General features: G+C 35.5%; 1 protein-coding gene across 8 annotated transcripts in view; it reads right to left on the reverse strand.

Moving 5' to 3' along the window:
• ARSJ (arylsulfatase family member J) overlaps nt 1-22,829 on the reverse strand; it is a 79,364-nt gene that overhangs the window by 48,044 nt on the left and 8,491 nt on the right. For 4 of the 8 annotated variants that reach the window (XM_047416157.1, XM_047416155.1, XM_017008594.3 and 1 more), the window contains 2 exons: nt 22,503-22,620; nt 22,148-22,183 (listed from right to left, as the gene is read on the reverse strand). The exons of the other annotated variants lie outside the window; for them this stretch is intronic. The gene's annotated coding sequence lies outside the window, so the exon portion shown is untranslated. The remainder of the gene's footprint in view (nt 1-22,147; nt 22,184-22,502; nt 22,621-22,829) is intronic. 8 annotated transcript variants of the gene reach the window in all.

A 22,829-nucleotide genomic window follows, 5' to 3' on the forward strand; every position in this document is an offset into this window, starting at 1 on the left:
TATAGATCAGTAAATCCAAATGGTTTACTGACATCAACAGGAAATTTGAATCAGGAAAAACTTTAAAATTGTTATTCTTTTCTTCAGAAATTTTCTTAGCATTAACAAAGATTTGAGTATTCTCTGGAACCCTAAAGGTATATTAAGTGTCATATTTTACAGTATCTAGGCAGCTTTATTTATTTTAAAACTAAACCACTTATCCTTTATTATGCTACGATAATAGTTGCAAGCGTACTATATTCTAGAATTTTTTTTCCAGACACATTGTTAATGTTATCATTGGTCTTGAGTCATTTATTATGCTTCACTGATTTTAGCTATATGTATATGTCTAAGTGATCATACTTTAGAACCAAGTTTCATAGCACATATTGGAAAACCTAACAATTATATTAGTGCAGGAGCTGAAAGGAAACAATCCAGCACTGTGACATGGAGGAGTTGGCTGTAGCCATTCCACATCCTCTTCTAGGCCTCTTGGTATTTGGCTTTGTTCTTGGAATTTTCTGTATCTCTTCATTGCAACAGATGCTCAAAGAGTTTGTTAAAATCCACCTTTAAGAAATGTGCTACATCCTATTCACAATAGCAAGGACTTGGAACCAACCCAAATGCCCATCAATGATAGACTGGATAAAGAAAATGTGGCACATACGCACCATGGAATACTAAGCAGCTATAAAAAAAGAATGAGTTCATGTCCTTTGCAGGAACATGGATGAAGCTGGAAACCATCATTCCCAGCAAACTAACACAGGAACAGAAAATCAAACACCACATGTTCTCACTCATAAGTGGGAGTTGAACAATGAGAACATATGGGCACAGGGAGGGGAACATAACAGGGGGTTGCGGGTGGGGTGAGGGGCTAGGGGAGGGATAGCATTAGGAGAAATACCTAATGTAGATGGCGGTTGATGGGTGCAGCAAAACACCATGGCATAAATATACCTAATGTAACAAACCTGAACGTTCTGCACATGTATCCCAGAACTTAAAGTATAATAATAATAATAAAACAACAACAACAAAACGAAATATGCTACATCTTCCCTAGCACTTTTTTTCTGGCTAGAATTGAAGATCTGGTGAGTACCAGAGACTATCTCTTTCCTTTATGCTTGACTTTCATCAAAGGCGGTAAAAAAAGGCTCATGGACACAACTTGAGGTGGTGGACGCTGGACCTTGCCATTTCCGAAAGAAGTTCAAGAATCTGTACCCAGTGAACAAGGACTAGCCTTTCATCATTCCATAGGTATTTACTGATGGCTCCCTTAAGGCCCAACTTAAACGTAGACAGAGATGATGTTACTAGCTGAGTGTTATTGCGGATTTAGTCCATGCCAGTCTCTGTACTAAGGACTTTACCTCCCTTTCCCTATTTGCTCCTCATTGCCCCATGGGATAGATATATTAGTGTCATCTGAATATGAAGAAATGAAGGCAAAAAGAGTGAAAACTGATGATCTCTTCACTGTTAATGCACTTTTGCGATCTGTACTCCACTCCAAGTATATTTTGTTAGATCCTTATGTCTTGGAACACCCTTGAGAAGTAGAAGAGCATTGCTATGGCACACAGTTTGTCTTCCCCTTAATTTTAAAAGCTCTTTGGTGGACATAAAAGAGGTGTTGGAGATGTTCTTTCCTCTAGTTTCCCCCCAACTTTTAATCTGGAAATGGAGGCAGACACTGTAGAAGCCCAGGCTCTGGGGGTTCATAGAAATAGATGCTATACAGATGTAAGCTATATGGTTCTCGGGAAATAAAATGAAGTTCTAATAAAATGTACTGAAAAGTGATTACACGGCCCTAATAATGTGGGACTGTCTGAAAGGAGAAACCTGTTTCTGAAAGAACAGCTTCTCCTTTTCCCTCCCTTTGAAGTGATTTCAGCTGCCCAGAGCTGCCCTGAAGGAAATCCATCATAGAAAAGAAAGAATAGTCCTATTCTAACCCTCCCCCTTCCTTTTATGCTCCCCTAATACCTGCCTCTGCTGCAACCTCATCATTGCTTTATGACTGGCTGGTGAAGGGAAAAGCTATTCCTAGCATAGCAGATGTAGGAAGCCCCATCCAGATGAGCCCTGGAGCTGGCAGTAGGTTTGGTTTGGTAATGAGGAAACAGCTCAAGAGAAGCATGGGAAAGGGACATTGAACTATTCACTGAGAAACATTATCCAACAGTTGTGAGACAAATCTTGAAAGAGAGAGAAAGAGGGAAAAAGGGTGAATATAAGATGAGGGAAAGGGAAGAAAGAGAGGGAGAGGAAGAGGGGAGAGATAGTAATTTTGCTTCAAAAGGCCTGCAAATTCTGGAAGTATATAAATTCTGTTTGGTTTTGTAATGTGAATATTAAAATATTACACATCAGCCCCTTAAACTTATGCTAAAGTGACTGTATTCTCTTTATTTTTATAGCTATTAAGTCTTGCACATTAAGAGCGTATGCTTTCCTGATTATACCGTGACTAGGCATAAGAATGGGAATTATTTTCTCTGGAGTTTGTTATGAGGCAGCACCCTATTCTTAAAGAAATTTGCATACAGTTGAAGCACTGGTATACTGACGTGGTGTCCTGTTGTTCTGTTTATGGCACCAAACACTGCCAACACTGCCCAAGACTAAGAATTGGGAGAAAGGATTGGGAATAAAGGGAAATAAATGGAAGTTTTAAAAATGCTTGAAGAAACAAATAGAAACCAGAATCATAAAAGATAAAGATTTATGAGAAGGCATTAGAAACCCAGGGCAGTACAGCTATAAAGGCCCATACTTGTTACTTAGTAGTACAGCTGTCAAAAATGCTTCCAATATGGGGAAGTTCAATATCTCACCAGACAGCTCATTTTATTTCTGAAGAGTTTACTAATATAAGGTTCTCATTTGGATTAATCCAGGCTCTTCTTGTCTGGAATCTTAACAAATCTGGAATCTCTTCTATGTTAATGTTCTTCAAATATGTGAAGACAGTTACCACGTTTCTGAGTTGTTTCAGTTATTTCAGCCAATCCTCATGCTCTCTGGTTGCCAGATCTCCTTGGCACACACTTCAGTGTGTCAGTGTCCCTCTTACAATCTGGCACTTTGAATTGAACATAATCCTTCAGATGTGGTCTGGACAGTGTAAAGTTCAATGGGACTACTCCCTTTCTTGATCTGAAGTCGACACTTTATTAAGACTCACACGAGCTTATTTGGCAGCACGTCATACTGTTGGCACACGGTGAACTTGCAGGCAGCTAAAACCCCAAGTTATTTCTTTTTTCTATATTCACTGTTCTTAAGCCAGTTGTCCTCTCTCGTAGAAGAGGAGTTTATTTTATGAATCTACAGAGAGAATGTTTTGTTTCTTGACGCCTTCTCTCATTCTTCCTGCTCTTTAAAGATCTAGAAGATACTTAATTTTGTCCTTCAATATGTTAGCTATCCCTCCTGTTAATTCTGGTAAATATGTGTCTTCATCTGAATCATGCGTTTAAGAGTTTGAGGGGACAGAACTAACTCAGAACAAAGCCTTATAAATTGTTATTGAATAACTGCCCTTAGGTTAACTTTGATTTGTTACTCAATTCCCTTTTTAATGTCACGTTCAACTTTTTACTTATCATTCAGTTTATTTTTTTTCTGATTAAAAGGATTGTCTTTTCTACAAGGCTTGTTGAAACTGAGACATAGCATATGTATAACCTCCCCGGATTTTGCATGCTGGAAGAAATTTACTTTTCTTTTTCATTTTTTAAGAGACAGGGTCTCACTATATTGCCCAAGCTGGAGTGCAGTGACCATTCACAGGTGCATTCATAGTGTACCGCAGCCTTAAACTCCTGGCCTCAAGCAATCCTCTCATCTCAGCCTCTCAAGTAGCTGGCACCACTGCAAGAAATTTAAGTGATATATTTTGGGCTTGAATTATTTTCAAACAATTTAAGACCACTTCTAATAATCACCAATTCCTGTAGTAACTTACTGAATAAAAACCAACTTCCCAGCCAACTTGATTTTTTAAAATCAGGGAACCACAGTCAACCTATTAATTAGTTTTATTTCTAAAATCCAGACTTCTCTCTTTTTTGACATTGAGATACTAGTCTTCCATATCCTTGCTTTTTATGAGTCTTCAATGAATGCTTTAAAATATTTTCATACGCATATCAATATTTAAAATATGGCATGTAATGTAATGCACTCTGGGTTCTCAATTTAGCGAACTGTTCCTACAGTCTGTTAACCCATGAAACCAAGCGCTTTAATACAAGGTTAAACGCTTGGGTGAGGTAATGCTGAAAGCAGTCACTAGAGGGAAATAGAGGGCTGAGAACTAGGTACAGGAATGGTCGACCCCTGGTTAGAAGGACCAAGAGAACGATAGGCTGGAGAAGGCTAAACCTCTGTAGAAGAGGCTACTCTCAGGTTTACCCCGAAATTCCACTTTAGATATGGTTCACATAAGAACAGAGATAGAGCTGGGACGCAATCAAGACAGATCAGCCAGTCAGCACTCAGTTGGAAGACACATCAATGACAAGGTTTTTAGGAAGTTTGATATCAATGCCAGAAAATGACCTTGAAGCAGGAGTCTTAGTGTCATGGTTGAAATCTGCAGTCCAAGCTAAGATCAAAATTATATCAATTCAGCAATAATCGTTACAATTTATTGACTGTCTACTATATATCTAGCAATGAACCAATATTATCTCCCATTCTTGGAACAAGCTTTGGAAAGTAATATTTTCCCCATTTCACAAAAAGGAAACTGAAGAACAGGATTTAAGAAATTTAAGTGGCAAAACTGGGATCTCAACAGAGATTAGTTGAGCTGCAAGGCATGTACTCACTATGCTGAAAGACTGGACAATACCGTATTCTGATTCAATAATTAGAACTCTGGGAAGAGAGCTGTGGAAAAGCTTGGAGCAATCTTCTCCTCAACTCTAAGGCCTTCTGTCTTAGAATTTGCGGTGAGTGGACACATCTTCTCACTTATCATAGGCTTCTATTTTCTGTAATCAAATTTCATCAGTCCTTCACAGATTTGAAGTTCATTCTGCTTTTTTAGGACCATGCAAACAAAATATATCCTATTAATACATTTCATTTTCTTTAAAGTCAAGGCAAATGAATACTTTGTAAACATAATGTATGGCTTTTTAAAAGTTATATGTAATGGATACAAACTTAGTACAGTGAAAATTCTCAGTGACAATTTGAATTTCCAATAGGATTTGAATTTCCAATAGGATTTGAATTTCCAATAGGATCTGCACCTCTTGGCCGAAATACTGGCCACATAAACATGGCACCAGATCTATCTGGTAAAAATGCATATTAAGTAGTTAAGGCAGCAAATGTTTATAGGGGGTAAAAGAATTTTCAGTTTTAGCATCTGTAAAGCCAATATTAGGTGAACAGGTAAATGAATTCAGGGATAAAATGATCAGTAGCAGCATAATAAAAGGATTTTAAAAGCACTGAACCTTAAATAACTCAATGGAAGTAAAGAGAAAGTTCAAAAAATGATTCACAAGATAGCTCAAGCGATAAGGTCCCTGATTTCAAGGATGTATACATATGTTTGAATAAAATTGTTTCAAGAAATCTGAGGTTCAAAAGGCAATATTTCTAAATATACTGGAAGCATTCTAAAACAAGCTAGAGTACTATAGTAATAAGCATGGTTCTTTATAGTTTTCCTGTTCTGGGTTTCTAATGCTTTTCTCAAGACAGAGGTAATTAAAATAATATATTACCATCAAAATCTATGTTAGGTCTTCTGATGGGATTTCCTGTGGTTTCCTCAAGTCACCGACATCTCAGTACATATTTGAATATATCCATTACATATCTCAATGTGTTTAAACCTATTAAGAATGATCTCCCTCCTGTTTGTCTTCTTCCTCCACAACATATATGAATACAAGATTCCTTGCAATTAATACAAATTTCTTCCTTAAACTTAATAATGTTTTCTTAGCAGATTTCTCTGATCCAAAAAAAGTAATTTGCAAGGAATATGAAATAGAAAACAACTTCAGGTTTATAGACTGGAGACCCATAATTCATATTATTTGTTATGTTTTCATCTTTTCTGAAAATACAGATTTTAAATACTTGTAAAAAATAAATGGGATGTTTGTTTTAAATTCTGCCTCAATCCAAATACCTGGAAAGCCCTGTATTTCGAAAACTTGAAATTTCATTCTAATTTTATTTAAGGTTAAACATAGAAGTGTGCTTTAAAAGTTCACATCTATCTCCCTTAACTTGGGCTGTACAAATTGTCCCAAAGATTTACATAGTTATTATGGCATTTTTTTGATGCACAAGGAACCAATAGGTGATAATTTATCTCATAGCAGCAGGATAGATGAGCCCAGCTCACACTGGGCACTTACTGAGCAATGTCCTACTTGCTGAAAATGGAATCTTATAAAAGTTGGGCTGTTTCTAAAATGTCCATGGGCATTCTAAACCTGTAGTCTGAGCCAGATGTCTGGAAGCTCTTAGAGATGATTTTTATTTTTTCTAATACAGTCATATCTTTCCCTTTGCTGTTTTCTTTGCACTTATCTGTCTTGTCTTATTTTGGTTTGGTTCCTTCTGTCCCTGCTGTAAACAGAAGTATGTCCTTTCTTCTCCCTCTCAATTTATTGACTTTTCTTTTTCTTTTCTTTTTTTTTTTTTTGAGCATATGTGAGCATACAGCATCTGTTTCCAAGCCTATACCAGATGGATGAAAATAATTATTGGAGAAATCTGAGAAAAGGAAGATCAAGGCACTTTTAACATCAGCAGAAGATAATGAAAGGGTAGAACAAAAATTGAAAACCAGAGACACTGTCAGGAGTAAACTAAAGCCACTTCTCAGAGTTTCCATAGATCCAATGGCACTGCCATAAATCTAGATTGAGAAAGTCCATTAGCAGTTATTGCAGATACAGTTACCTTCTCCTCACCCCAAATTCTAAATAAAATATATCAAAATAAATGAACAGATTGGTTATTATTTAAATATTAACCCAATTTGCCAGCTTCTTTTAGGTCGTAAATTTGCATGGACTCATGGTAATCCAAATGACTGTATAACCAATCAGGATATTTAGGAAAAAAAAAAAAAGAATCAGTGGCAATACTCAAGCCCAGGTTCCATGCCATCTGCAGGAGCTGTGCCACCGTTTTTATTATAAAAGAAACTACTATTAGGATGCAGTCGGACTGGTTTTTCCAAGCACTAAATCCATATGGGTAGAACTCAATAAATACCATGCACATAATAATTACTAACATCTGTAGAGTGCTTTCCGGTCTACATGTTGCTTTGTTTAACCTTCATAACTGTTATAATCCTCTTTTATAGCTCAGGAAACTGAGGCTTAGGGAGGTAAAGTGATCTAGTTAAGAGCACACAGCAAAAAACTTTTAAACCATAAATTTTGACTCTATAATGAAGTTTTTTGATTCCAAATCCAGAGCTTCTGCTACCTTGTGGTGCCTCTCTGAAAATGTTTTAACAACAATAATGTTGTGATTATACCTTTCAATGTAATTTTTAGAAAATGTTGCCTTTTAGTATCTTCCAGCCACAGCAGCTAATATTTTATGAGGTCATATTTCTGAGTTATTTGTAGTATGGAAACTGAACATTTGAAAACATTATTGAAATCTATTTAAAAACTGTTATTTGGTTAATTTGTAAACCTCAACCTCCTTGCCTCAAGTGATCCTTCCACCTCAGCCTCCCGAGTAGCTGGGACTAAAGACATGCACCACCATGCCTGGCTAGTTTTTGTAGAGACAGGGTTTTGTCATGTTGCCTAGGCTGGTTTCAAAGAGTTTGTAGTGATTTTGAAAGCGAAAGCAAGCTAGATAAAGCCTACTTTATGAAACATGTGCTTGGAATAAAATAGATTAGGATTTAAACCCATAATAATAAAGAGCCACGCCACCTCTCCTTATAGGGAATATTTAATATATTCCCCTAGAACATAAAGAGTTAATTGTTAATCACTTAACAGGAAGACTAGGAGAAGGGGTTCTACGACATTAAAAGCAAAAATGGGAAGAAATGTTTTAAATAAACTAGAAATCGGTGGGACCACACATTCACTTAATAAATCTTTACTGGCCATTTACTATGTATCATATAATGCCAAATACTTGGGGAAATTTAAATTTTAGAAGACAAAGCCTATCTTTTTGAAGAGCTCAAAGTGCAATGGAGAAGAAAGCAATGAATAAAATGTTTGAATTAAGAAGGAGAAACTTGTCTGCAGGAATAAGCAAAGGAAGTAAAATTAAATTAGAGTTCTGAAGGATAAATTGTATCTTCACAGGATGAGAAATGGGTAAAATGCATTTGGAAAGGAGCAGCTCACGCAATGGCATAAAAGTATGAGAAAGAGATTAAGTTCATGCAATGGTGACATGGTCACTGCAAGTAGATCACAGGGTACTTGAACGAGTGGTGAGAAAGGAGTCTGAAAGACTGCAGGGGCCGGTTTGAGAGGGGTCTTTGATGACACGACGAGATGTAGTGACTTTGCAGGCTCCAGGGTGCCAACAGCCTATGCTTTTCAGGCAGGCAATAGCACCATGGAATGTGCAGTTTAGAAAGACAATTCCGGTGGCTTAATGTGGGAAGAGACTGGTGGCAATGCAGTATTTTATAGGCTGTTGCAGCTGTAGCAGCAAGATGGACCTATAGAATTATGTATATTGTCCTAAATTAGAGGGTGTATTTTACTTTAGAATAATCAATGCCGTTAATAATTGTAGGCAGTTCATAATATAAAACGTTTTCAAGCAAGGGCAGGTTTGGGGAGGAAGGCCTTGAGGAAGATTCATTATATAGTAAGCTAATAGGAATAAAGGCTTCAATGTGATGTCCGATGTCTTAGGATGGTGACAGTTCTTTTAGTTTTAGCTCTCCAAAAAGTATTTCCACCATTTTATTTAAATATCTCTATTAGCATCCTTATATGTTAGGGATTTCTTCTTCTTTTAAAAAACTTAATTTCAGAGACCTCTCCTGAGAAAAAAATAGAAAGAAACTCTTTATGCTTGCAAAGCTAATAAGCAATACATTGTATTGGGAAAAAATATAAAAATAAGTAGAGAACCTTTTATTTAAAAATGGAAATAAGTCTTTAAAGTCGTTTTTTCTGAAACAAATGTGGTCTTTTGTTACATTGAGTGGGAAAATCTTAAATCAAACTTTCCAGGATAGAACATTAAAAAACAAAACCCATCAACTCTGAGCTCTCTCTCTACTGTTGAGCACAAAACCAAAATCACAAATGCACAACATTTACTTTCATAGTTCACGGTGACTGATTTGTGTATTGAACACAATGATTTTCTTCCTTTGTGCTTCTTTAAAAAAAGTAACATTAACTTGCAAAAAAGACTCCAAATTGCTTATGTAGGAACAAACTTAAAAGTGAGACAGAATTTCATCTACAAGGCTTAAAACATCTCTTAATTGTTATGATGTAACAGCAGTCTAAAAATTTTTATCAACAAACAAAAAATCAGTCAAGCACACACACCTTCTGAGACCATCTTGTCTGGATAACATCTTCAAAGTTAGGACTGAGTGATTACTAGTCTACGTTCTATGCTAAGGTGCTCAAGAAAAACAACTTCATATTGAGTGACATAAACAAGTGCAGCAAATCTTTTTAAATTTGCATGTTGTTTTGGGAGCCTTTTAAAAGAAACTGTAAGCCAGCATATGGAAAGTTATAAATGGAGCCCAAGTTTGCTTGGAATCTAATTAGAGATGCCTTCCAGCTGTTGCCACTGCCTGGAGCCTCTATTTCCTCTTACTCTCTCCTTCCAAACAAACCATGGAAAAGCAAGCTGAACACCAGTTCTCTTGCCTGACGCAACATGAACTGATTTAGGCAGTCTGGCAAAAAGGAGATGAAAAAATCAGCCTCCTTATTAAATGTTGCTGTACATAAAATGTACAATGAAAATTCAGTCGAATTAAGGACAGAGGTATAGAAGCAAAATTAACGTTAAAAAATTTAAGTGCATTACCAGCAGCACAAAAGGCATTATCAATATTATGACTAAAGACAGCATGGTGTCTAATGTTCACCTATTTGTAGAAAAATGAAAGAATCCATTAATTATTTTTCTATTTGCACTATGTTCTCCAAACTAGACACCTATGATAACCAAAGAAGGTCTTTGAACCCCTAACTTTGATAAAGATCAGGCTCCTACATCATAGATTGGTTATTTTTTTCTCTATGGATATTAACCTGCATGTTTTGACTTTAGCCGATACATATATACAAATAGATACATAACAGAGCTTAAGGCATGGAAGGTTGGGAGAAGGATGTGGCATTGATGTAGCTCTTTGAAGAGAAATAAAATTTCAAATAGGCTGAGAAGAGGGTGATTGTGGTATAAATTTACCTCTCTCATTTCTTTAATCTTCTACTTTCCACTAATTTCCCTATATTTTCTCCTCAGCCTTCACCTTCAAGCATATGTCTCTCTCTATCTTGAAAATATCCTCTCTTGGAACCCGCTATTTTTTAAATTGCCACATTTCTCTTTCCTTTCTTGCAAGATTAAACCCCGCACGCAGGCTACACCCACTCTTGCCATTTCTACTCTACCAACCCTTTTAATAACCTCTTCAGAATCAAACCATTTGTGTTTTGGGAGCGGGATGGGGGTGGGAAGATAAAAATGATGACTTTCTTCTTAAAATAGCAATTTAAAAGCACGATAAAATTTAAATAATAACTAGAGCTGTCTGAAGAGAACATTTCTTTTCAGGCAAATGTGAAATTAAGTAATCTGTTTCATGTTGCGGTAGACATTTTTCTGAATGGCTCACACAGAACATAAACCTTAAAAGCCAACAGCATACTGTGGGGGGAATAATTTCTGTTTACCCTCAGTTCAGTGTTCTGTCCCATTAACAGCTCTACCTCTAAATATGCATGACATTTCCTTTCAAAAATTTTCTGTTTAATGTTTCAAATGCACACACTAGATCTGACTTAGTAAACCAATTCCTTAATAATGAGTCATCTGGCCAAACATGAGTCAGAGTAATAAAGCTCTCGAGACACTTCACTATTTGAACTTTAGGGACATATATAAACCTGTGAACGATTTCACAGCCTGAAGAAAGAATTTTTAGCTGTTATGAGAAGCTGGGTAAGAGAGAACCAGCACTTCCCTGTTTTCATGTCTTATCTTTTCTGAATTTGTAACATTGATTAGAAGAACCTCTGTTCTATGATTTTTTATTTACAGAGATTGCAATGATCATGTGTAGCATTAAAATACAAATTTCACAGACAGTATATTTTACTTTGTGTATATTAAACATGTTTTTTTCTTGAACATTTGGCAACTATAATCAACATGAGATTAACTGTTTCATCAGAATGTGTTTATATGGTTGCATATTATCAAATGGAATTTGGTTTCTGAAAAATGGAATGAAAGTATGGAACAAAATGGCAGAGCTAAAAGTCAGAATATTCCCAACCTTGTATTTTAGTTAATTTTACTGTGATCTATCAGCCACCCAATAGATTTTTTTTCTGAAAGCCTTCTAGTTTCTCTTGTCTTCAAGACTATGTTCATTGGGGTATTAAGTAATGTACCTTCTATCATTGCTTCTCTCTTGAATTATTGTTCTCTTTCCATTCTTAGTGTTATCATTACGGTTTTTTTTCAGTATTTTGTTTCTCATTCAGACAGCTTCCTACTGGTTTCCCTGTTTTAGAGTTGGAGAAATAATAATGAGACATGGATAAAATACAATTAGGCAATGATAAAACGATAAGAAAACAAGGTATTGACAATGAGTTGTAGTGGGCATTTTACAAAATACACATTGATCGAGAATAAATTTTATGTGTGGTTCCCTATACCTGTTCTGGTATGCCTAACTACAGCTTAGTTATTGAATAATAGTTTCCTTGTATGCTTTCCTCACTACTGGGCTATTGAATTTGATGACAAGTGAAAAATTTGAGAGTTTGAGATCATCTGAAAAAGCTTCTCTACTTCACAAACCTTGCTGTTTTATAATTATTTTCTGTGTACCTCCAGTATCCTGGTTTGAATGTTAAAGTATTTCATTTTCATCTCCATGGTGGTGTTATAAAACCGCAGGATTATTAGTGAACTGCCTCAACTTTAATAGCTATAATTGATTCTGGTGTATTCATCAAAATGACAGCTATAATTTGTAGAAAAAAAAGAATCAAAGAATTTTCTTATAAAAGATGTGTTTAATAGATCTGTAGCTTTTTATTATTGCTGCTGCTGATTCATTATTTTTACATTTTATAACTTGATGCTGGTACTTCTTGAGAATGATTGCCTTATTAACATATTACTTATTTGTAGCATTAAGTCAGTAACTTATTTTCTTGATATGTTAAGAAAATTCCCTCAAAGTAGATTGAATAGGGCAGTGTTTTTCAAACAATGACCCAGGAGCCCTGGAGATTGGCAGAAGTGCCCCGAGCCTGCCTTAGAAGGAAGGGGTTGAGGCTGGAACCTGCACTAGCAGATCTACTTTCTTTTGTTTTATATGCTGGACTTCTTTTCCATCAAGAAATTCATTTGACTGAAAAGTGACACATTGAAAAAGAGTTTGAAAAATTATAGAATAAGTTTCAAGTCCAACAGAGAAATAAACCAATTTACCTTTGGCAAACATAGGTAACGTGAACTGGGCAGCTCCTCTAGGTGAAAAATAAGTAATGGGAGAGAGAGACTACAGTGCAGATCCTGAGCAGACACCATGGAGAAGTGACACCCACACTCTGATCACACCTGGAGGAGGCATCCAGCACGTTGGAAGTGAAGTAGCACTTACCCAACAACATAACCTGGGTTGCCTAAAGTTTTACACTTTAAGATTTAAAATAAAGGGGCTTAGAGAAGGGATTTGAACTTGTAAAAGATTATGAGATTCTTATTCTTTAAAAAATAAACAATCACAAATGTTCTTTTGCAGGATATGTTCTGTAGTGCTTGTTCTTAAAATCTAAGAAAGGGAATGTTTGGGCTAACATGTTACATCAGATGGAGGTTGGACGTTTTGATTTCAATACTGTGTGTGGTAACTAAGGTGAATGCATTAAAACAAACATTCCTCTCAATGAAATCTTTCTCAATGTCTGCACAGCTGTTAACTCTTTGGCCCAGAAAACTGCATCAAAAGCCAGCAGTAATACAACTTATGCAGGTTGGCCCATAAACTGTTTAGTGAGTACTTTGCTTTTGGAGAACAAAAAGAAGAGATCACCAATGTGGAAAAGTTGTAATAAATGACAATGTTCTATAAATTAAAGCAAATGACCTATTTTTAGCTATTTTAAAATAAGAAGCAAAATAGGTGGACTTCAAGTTTTAACAAAAATCTTGCCAGATGTAAATCCTTAAAAATTATAATTCTAAAAATGTAAGTGCAGGACCACCAACTACTGCTCAGACTCTTTTGCCTTGACATTAATCCAAGAGAAAGGGAAAAACATGTATGTGTGCCTGTGTTTGTCTCTCTCTCTCTCTCTGTGTGTGTGTGTGTGTGTGTGTGTGTGTGTGTGTGTGTGTGTGTAAACACTTGATATTTGATGCAATCAATAGTCTGAAGTAGCAACATTTTCATTTTGATGAAAATAGGGATGTTGAGTGCATACATTGGCTCTTTCTGTTGATTTCTTTTAATCATCAACCATCTGACCATATGGATGGACTAATAACATGCAGAGTTTTGGCTACAAGTCCAACGTAGTGAAGTAAGGGAGAATGGTGAATTCACCCAGTTCATTCAACTCTGGGACAGCCGTGAGGCCAGACAAGCATGCTTGCCCTAATGTAGCACCCTGCCCCAACATTCACCTGTGCTGCTTTTTCTTTCTTTTGAAATATTAGTGAGTGGCTGAGCCAGAACTCAGATGCAGACCTTCTGACACCACTTACTATGATAAAAGAAAAAAAAATCTATAACTGCAATCCTTCAAAATATAAAACCTAAGGGAGTCAGAAAAAGAAGGGAGAAACAAAGACTATTATTTATTGGTAGGCTTTGAAATGTGAAATATAATTGTCAAAGAGATTCCTGTAACTTGTGATACATGTCTGCTGGAGCAGGCACCTTTTTTTTTTTTTTTTCTAATAGTTGAATGAATAAACTTGAATTTGTCCTTGACTCCTCCTTTTCTTCCTGTTGCATTTGTAGTTCATCAAAAAATCTTGTCTGCTCTATCTGCAGAATATACTCAGAATCCATCACTTTCCATCACCCCTCCCTCTGTCCCATGATCTCTCACACAGGTTAATGCTATGGTCTCTTTAACAGATCCACCTGCTCTCCATCCGACCTGCATGATCTATCCTCAACACAGCCACTAAAGCAGTTCTGTTAAAAATGAAGTTAGATCAGGTTCCCCTTCTGCTCCAAGCTTCCCAGTGGATCCCATTTTAGTCGAGTGAAAGTCAGTGCCCCTGCCTGTGCCTACATTACACTACAGGATCTGGCTTCTTTAACTGCTTTGACCCCATTTCCTCTTAATCTCTCCTGGTCTGTCTCTGAACTAGCTTAGTGGGGCTGTCCTGTAATGGTACTTGAACACACCAGGGGTGTTCCTGTTGTAATACTTATGCATTCACTCTTCTTTCTGCCTGGAGAAGCTACATACAACGATCCCTTCCTTGCCTCCCTTCTTATCAAGGTCTTCCGTGACCTTTGTAATATTGTCCTCTCAATTTCTGTGACTCCCAATCCTCTTTCCTGCCTTATCTTCTTTCTTAGAGCATGTCACCCTCTAGCATACTATATAGTTTTCTTATTTGTGTCTTCTTGCACTAGAATATGAACACCATGAAAACAGGGATTTTTATAGGTTTGTCAACTTATATATTTCCCAGTGTATTAGTCCATCCTCATGTTGCTATAAAGGACTGCCTGAGACTGGGTAGTTTATAAAGGAAAGAGGTTTAATTGACTCACAGTTCCACCTGGCTGGGGAGGCCTCAGGAAACTTACAATCATGGGGGAAAGGGAAGCAAACATGTCCTTCTTCACATGATGGCAGGAAGGAGAAGTGCCAAGCAAAAGAGGGAAAAGCGCCTTATAAAACCAGCAGATCTTGTGAGAACTCACTCACTATCATGAGAACAGCAGCATGGGGGTAACGCCACCATGATTCAATTACCTGCTGCAGGGTCCCTCCCAGGACACTTAGGGATTATGAGAACTACAATTCAAGATGAGATTTGGGTAGGAACAAAGCCAAACCATAATCACCCAGTGTCTAGAACAGCACCTGGCAAAGAGTAGGTTCTCAATATTGAATGAATGGATGAATGAATGATGGATGAATTTCAGGGAAATAAAAACGACACCACTTAAATCAAGGGCCATTACTTAATGAATGATTAGCTGGTAGTGGAGTGTCACAAGGGTTACAAATTAGCCGATGAATAGTTTTCTTCCTTTTAGAATTTCTAAAGGTATACATTTAACCTTGGGAGTTTCCTTTATGTAATTAAGAAATAATCACACTCAGCTACATCATGGGTTTGAGGTGAGGATTAAATGACATAATCCAGTGTATTAACATTGATCTTAAAACACTATTTTAAATTGCTTTTTTTTTGTTTTATTATTTTGACATCTGGAATCATTCAGAGACACAGTGGAAAAGAAAACAGATCTAAAAAGCTCTATTCTTGGAAACGAACCATTGAATTATTTTAATTTTAGCAAATCTCAGACTATTGATCCAATTGACCCATTTTTCTTTTAGAGATAAATAATGACAGTGAATTATCTAGCTAAGATGGCCATAACACTTTAGAAAATTATGATATACTGTATATGCACACACTCTGAAACTGATGAAAACCAGATAAAATTCATAGCTTCCTGATTTAAACAACACACTGAAATAAGCATTTGTTTTCTTCAAGTTCACACTGTAGTAGAAAAGGAGCACATAAAAAAGAACTATACTCCAAAATGTTTACATCTCCTAGTACCTTTAATTTCATGATACAGTTCTCAGAAACTCATTATTCAGTTATCAGTTGCTTTTTGCTCTTGAACCAATTACTAAGCCTAAAATAAGAATATATAAACTTATTTTATGAGAGAACAGACATGCATTAATAGGGATGTTTCTTCCAAGATTGAACTCTATGAGACCTTAAATAAGCTTTCAACTGCAGACTTTAGGAGGAAAAACACAGGTCAACTGACTTGATTCTAAGATAGTACTTGAATTAAATAGTCATATGCATATAGCAGGTGTTAAACAGTTGGGAGAAAAATAAAAGAGACAAAGATGGCAATAAATCACCATGGAGCGTTAAAGATCAAAACTCTACCGCAGTGTTATTCAGTATGGTTCCCAGACCAGCAACTTCACCTTCACCAGAGAGCTTATTGGAAACGCAGAACCAAGACCCCCACCCTAGCCTTTCTGAAATATTAGGGTAGGACCAGAGGCATAATATTTTAACAAGTTCTCTGAGTAATTCTTATACATTGCTCTATTATATACATCTTACAGTCCTAAATATCTAATTGTTAATATTTGTTAGGATCAATAATATATGTGGAAAAAAATTATAAAAACTTTTCACAGTCAAATTTAAACAAAAGATTGTATAGGAACTAGGTATTACTTCAAAACACTGTAACAAAAATAGAACTGGAATTATATTTTAAATGCCTTGTGGCATCTACACTTATGGAATATTTAAGTTCTTCATTTCATCTCTCAATAAGAGAAACATAGTTTGATTAATAGGTTAAGTATTCTTAGAAACTCTGAAAGGTAATATTGACATCATTAATTTATATATGAAACAAATGAAAAACAAGAACTTCTTCCAACTTCCCAAAACTGTATGGGAAACAATTTTGAATATGAGTTTCTGGTTTGTAGAATAACTATGTCTACTTAGCCTGCTGTTGCTTTACTTTAATAACAAAAGATATTTATTGTTTTCTACTCTAAAGAAAGCTGTGCAGGGATAACAAACCCATCCTGTCAGCCATCTGAATAATGTCATTGAAAAATCCTAGTGTTGGAGTTGGAATCTTAGCTTCATTACTTACATCTTGGCCAAGATACCTTACTTCTCTGAGCTTGATTTCTTCAAGTGTAAAATGTGGATAATAATAATTACTCTAGAGTTACAAGACTTGGAGAATATATAAAAGAGATACAGATATAGATATACACATATATAGAGAGATTAATATAATTTTTAGAGATAGATGTACTAAGAATATATATTAGAGGGTAATGTACATAAGGTATATTTCTTAGCACATACATGCCAAATAAATGTTAAATTGCTATTAACAAGACTTTATGCTCAACTAAATCTTTTATTTAGGAAAAATGTATGATTAAACTATAGAGTTACAAAGACAGCCAAACTAGGAACAAAGTAAAAAATTGATTTCAAACGTTTCAGTTTATATTTTCAAGTATTTTAAAAATATCTAAACCAAATTAAATTTTAATTTGAGTCTGAATCACTCTGTTCACATACATTCATTATGATCTTATCCTGTGCAAGAACCTGGTGTGTTCAAAGGATCTAACACAATCTTTAACCTCATAATGTTCAACTCCAAAGGTAATTTTAAAAAATCTGATAAAACAATGTAAAGATTATTTGGTTTCACATTGAAGATTAGGGACAATGTTTTAAATAAATTTCTAATAAATTATAAATTTATTTTAAAAATTTCAATTATAGAATAGATAATTTATAGTAGAGATGAATTAATATTAAAATACAGGTATGCTACCAAATTTACAGTATGTATTAATGTATTATAGCTTAATAATTGAAATGGAGTTAGTATATATAATTCATGAATTTTTGCTAGGTAGAAGTGCAGAAAAATTAAGTCAAGTAAATTGTGCACTTTGTTTTGGTTTATTTTTAGATAGAAGGAACTTATACTCATTTATGTGATGGTAGAAATGCTTTAGTAGAGATAAAAAATGACAAAGAAAGAATGTAAAATTGTAAAAACTAAGTCCTTGAGGAGGAAAAAAGTGGCTTGGGGAGGCATGGGTCTTTTGACTGATGCATCTATCTCAATGCCTACTGGAAGAAGAAGGCTGCACATGTGCTGTCAATGCTGGTCAGTTGGTAAATTTGGTGTTGGTAATGAAAGGGCTAATTTATTATTGCTTCTAATTCTCAATGGAATTTTGAAGTAAGGCAATGAGCTGATGAAAGGATATTAGCAGTTTGAGGAGATGAGAAATTTGGAAATAGTAGTTCTGAAGAATGGGACACATAATATAGGAAGGTAAAAAAACTGCTGGCATTTTTAGTGCCTATTTTAGATTTGTGGTTATGAATTTAATTTAATCAAACATTGGTTGCCACCCACATTTTTGTTGCTGTGTCCAACTGCTGGCTGCACCTTCTTGGGCACTGAATGTTGCAAAACCATGCCTATCAAGCCCATTTGGGCTTTGTGCACGGAACAATTCAGCACTCTGACAGGGTCCAGTCAGTTACCACATCCTCTTTCTCATCTATGGCTGGTCCTTACCCTCTCTACCAAGCTTGAGAACAACCAAGTTTCAAGAAAAGCATATCATGGTATCTCCTCAGGAAGGGGACAATGACCTAGTGATTATTTTCTGGCATGTCTCCCTACGAGGCTCAGTTGGTTGGTAGGTTTGGTGTGGGTGATAGGATAGAGAAATTTTATTATGGATTATATTCAGTCAGTGGAGAGAGAATTCATTGTTATAAAATGAAGATTTTGAGAAAGATAATTTTCAACATCTCTTTGAGCTCTAAAAATTCTATCACTCTTTGTTGGCTGCCACATCTTATTACACCCAAGAAAAAGTGTGTAAAGCTTACACAAGGTAAACCTAAAAGGTTCATAAGTATGCTGTCATTTCTGATATGGATTCTACATATGCCCATTTGGAACAAAATTTATAGGAGTAGTTGAGACTTTGGAAATACTCTTCTCTTTCTATTCAAAATAAATTCCCTGAAAATTCAGTTAAATCTAAAACTTAGAATGTATTGAGCATTTATTATATGCCAGGTAATGCTCTATGTATTTTTGCCCCTATGGTCTTATTTAATAAGATAAGAAAGAATGGTCTTTTAAGTTCCTACTACTCTCATTTGATGAGGAGATCTACAGGCTTTAAGTAACCTAAGGTTTCACTTGAAGTGTGGAGCTGGGGTTAGACATAGGTGTACAATCCTATGCCTCCTGCTTCTCAAATAACTTCCATTTAAAATAACTGCTTTCTCTGAATATGATATAATTTAAAATTATGCTTGAACAATTACTAAAGGTTGCTACCAATCTAAATATCTATGTTCATCCAACTCTATCAAATATGGCATCATATTTCAGTTGATGAGCAATGGTAATATGATGTTAACAATTTTTAAATCAAAACATTCCTCTTAAATTTTAAGCTATTGTACTAACAGATGAAAAATTTGAAAGCTCCTAAAATTCATAATGAATATAAAATGTCATTCTGACATTTTCAATATGTCAGTCATAAAACACTTAACATAGTTTTTGAATATTTTCTCCTTCAGAGCTTTTCACTTGGTTTAATTATTGCATAAATGTTTATTGAGAGTCTGCTTATCAGCAAACATTCATTAACTATTTATGGGCTAAGTTAAAGTTTCCCAGCCTGGAGGTAACCAAGATTATCAAGGTTATATGGGTTTCTATGTGGCAGGCTCTGTTCTAAACGCTTTAGGTACACAATTCTACTTAATCCTCATAATAACCCCATGAGGTACTATAATGATCATCCCCATTTTCCCATGAAAAAACTGAAGGATAGATAGTTTAAGTTATATGGCTGATGTCACATAAGTTCTTTGCTTTTAATCACTGTGATAAATATATGAGAGATATGTATATACATATAATATTTATGTATTTTTTAATTAGACTATATGAAGTTTATAATTTAGTGTATTCTTGTACACTCAGGGATTAAGAGGAAAGAAGTAAGTAAGTATAAAAACTGAAACAGAAGTATGCAGAAAAGACGGTAGGAACAGAGCAGAATGCACTTGACTCTGCCTGAGGTGGGGTGAGAAAATGACCAGAAAAGCATTGGTGAGGAGATGAGGGTGGTAGAGAGTCTAGAAAGATGCAATGATGTCTTCCCAGAGATGAATGAAGAACACTCTACCAAAGGAAGCCCTGCTTAGAAGGAAACAGGAAAATGAGGATGCGGGCCTAGTGGGAAAGTACAAGTACTCTGGCAGTGATAATCCAAAGAAGGTATAAATGGAAAATTGTTGGGAGATTGCAACAGAACTTTGGCAGAGGCCAGATTTTGAAGGCCCTTATATGGAATGCTTAGGAATTATGCTTTAGTCTCCAAGTAGTGGAAACTTCTAAAAATTTTAAGCAGGGAAGTGTCATGATTTCGACTATTGTAGGAATTTTACTCAGGTCTTATTGTAGAGGTGGATTCAGAACCTGTAAGCAATATAATCATTTAGGAGGTTATTGAAATAGTGATAATAGAGCACAGATGTCTCAATACCTATGAACCCTAAAACAATATATTAATTCAAAACTATTATGTACCTTCTAAGTTGTAGCCCCAGGGGTGAGTTGGAATTCAAAGCTGGATAAGATATATTAATAATATTCAATAACATGTCTTGAGATTTTTGATTGAAGGAATTTGAAGTAATTAATCACTGGCCTTTCCATTACCCTATTTCCAATTTCTCATTTAGTGTTATACTTTTAACATCACTGTTTAAATACACATTTCCTCTCACTTGTCACAGGCTTAGCAGGGTTCCAATAGATTCTGCCAAACATGACAACCAACAACAACTAAAACAGTTTGCAAGTGCAGAGACCTTAAAAAATACACCCCAGTCACCTTTTTGGACATCTCAGAACTAACAATATCATGCAGAACACCATGCCAGATAAAATATATTAAAATTAAAACACATGGGGTTTAATTTTAACCCTTTTTTTAATCAACAGATTAAAATTGGATGAGAGCTATGACTATACTTACAGAAAGCTTTAAAAAGAATAAAAGCCACTTCTTGTAAGGTTTTTATATGATTAATATTGCGAAGACATAACTATAAATTTAAAATAATGTTTACTTTAAAATTACATAATATGTAAAATTCTCAAAGTACTTTCACATATGTTATGTCAATTGATGAGTAGAATAACTTTTAAGATTGGTAAGTCAATAATAACATTACTATGATTCTATAGATGAAAACAATGCATCTCAGAAATATCAAAAAATGTATTCAAGGTCAAAGTCAGTAATTTGTTGAATCAGCACTGTACTGTAATTCAGATTTCCTTACTATAAATTATATGCTATTTCTTCTCAATCACATTGCCTGCCAGGGGGAAATAAATAATCATTTATTCATCTATTCATCCATTCATTCATTCTTCACACATTTACTTAGTGCCTATTAGCACAAAGCACTGGATTGGGTGCTGTGAGATTTATGGAGATTATAAATCAGCTTTGCTGCTTAGGGGACCAGCAAGGGAAGGAAGAGGTTCAGTAATAGCTGTGAAGGAGTGGAAAATCATGCCTAATGAGACAGTTACAGAAAGGAGTAAGAAAGCTCATCGTTGAGATAAATCATTTCTGGCTAAGGAATCATGGAAAGCTGTATAAGCAAAGTGGTATTTTAGGTGAGTTTTAATGAGTGGTTGGCATTTGGGCAAAGAGAGATAGGGTGTACATTCCAAGGAGTGAAAACAGAATGAGCCAAAGAAGAGAGGAAATTGAGATGTTCTTGAGAAACTGTGAATCATCCATTTCCCTGGAGTAGAGTTTGAAGGTAGAAGGAGAAAGATCTGGCTAAAAATATTGTTTAAAGACTGGACTGAGGTGTTTATAATTTTCATAGGAGGCAGAATGGGGTGATGAAAAATAATTAAGTCACATAAGTTTAGGTTTAAATAGCTCTGCTGCTTAAGAAGCTGTGTGACCATAACCAATTTATATAATTTCTCTAAAATTTTCATATGCCATCCATAAAATGTGGACATTTGTGAAATATTTTAGAAATATTTTTCAAATAAAAATAATTTTACCTTCAGCGTGAATGTGAAGATCAAATAACAGGATGTCTGAAAAACAAATGGCACAAGAAGGCCTTCAGCATAAAATTATTTCTTTTCCTATTCTTTGGTAGCCAGTGGGGGACCTGGGAGGGTGTTCGCTGAGGATGGTGATGTCATGAGAGTCTGTTTTAGTAAAGCAAATGTGTTGGGTAAATTAGAGGAGAGAGGGGCTGGGCAAGGTGGCTCATTCCTATAGTTCCAGCACTTTGGGAGGGCGAGGTGGGTGGATCACTTAAGCCCAGGAGTTAGAGACCAGCTTGGACAACATGGCAAAACCCTGTCTCTACAAAAAACGCAAAAATTAGCCTGGCATGATGGTGCACACCTGTAGTCCTAGGTACTTGGGAGGCTGAAGCAGGAGGATGACTTGAGCCTGGGAGGTTGAGGCTGCAGTGAGCCATGATTATGCCGCTGCACTCCAGCCTGGGCGACACAGCAGGACCCTATCTCAAAAAACAGTAAAAAAATAAAAATAAAAAATAAAATAGAAGAGAGAGATTAAAAGATGAGAAGCAGAAAGTCTTTTATTTTTATTATTTTTTTTACAATAGGGCATGGAAAAAAATGCCTCAATGAGGTAACACCACTGGGAATATAACTAGAATTATAAAAGAACACTGAAACAAACTCTAATTATATCAAGGTAAAGTCT

The sequence above is a fragment of the Homo sapiens genome, chromosome 4, assembly GCF_000001405.40.
Source record: "Homo sapiens chromosome 4, GRCh38.p14 Primary Assembly".
NCBI classification, from domain to species: domain Eukaryota; kingdom Metazoa; phylum Chordata; class Mammalia; order Primates; family Hominidae; genus Homo; species Homo sapiens.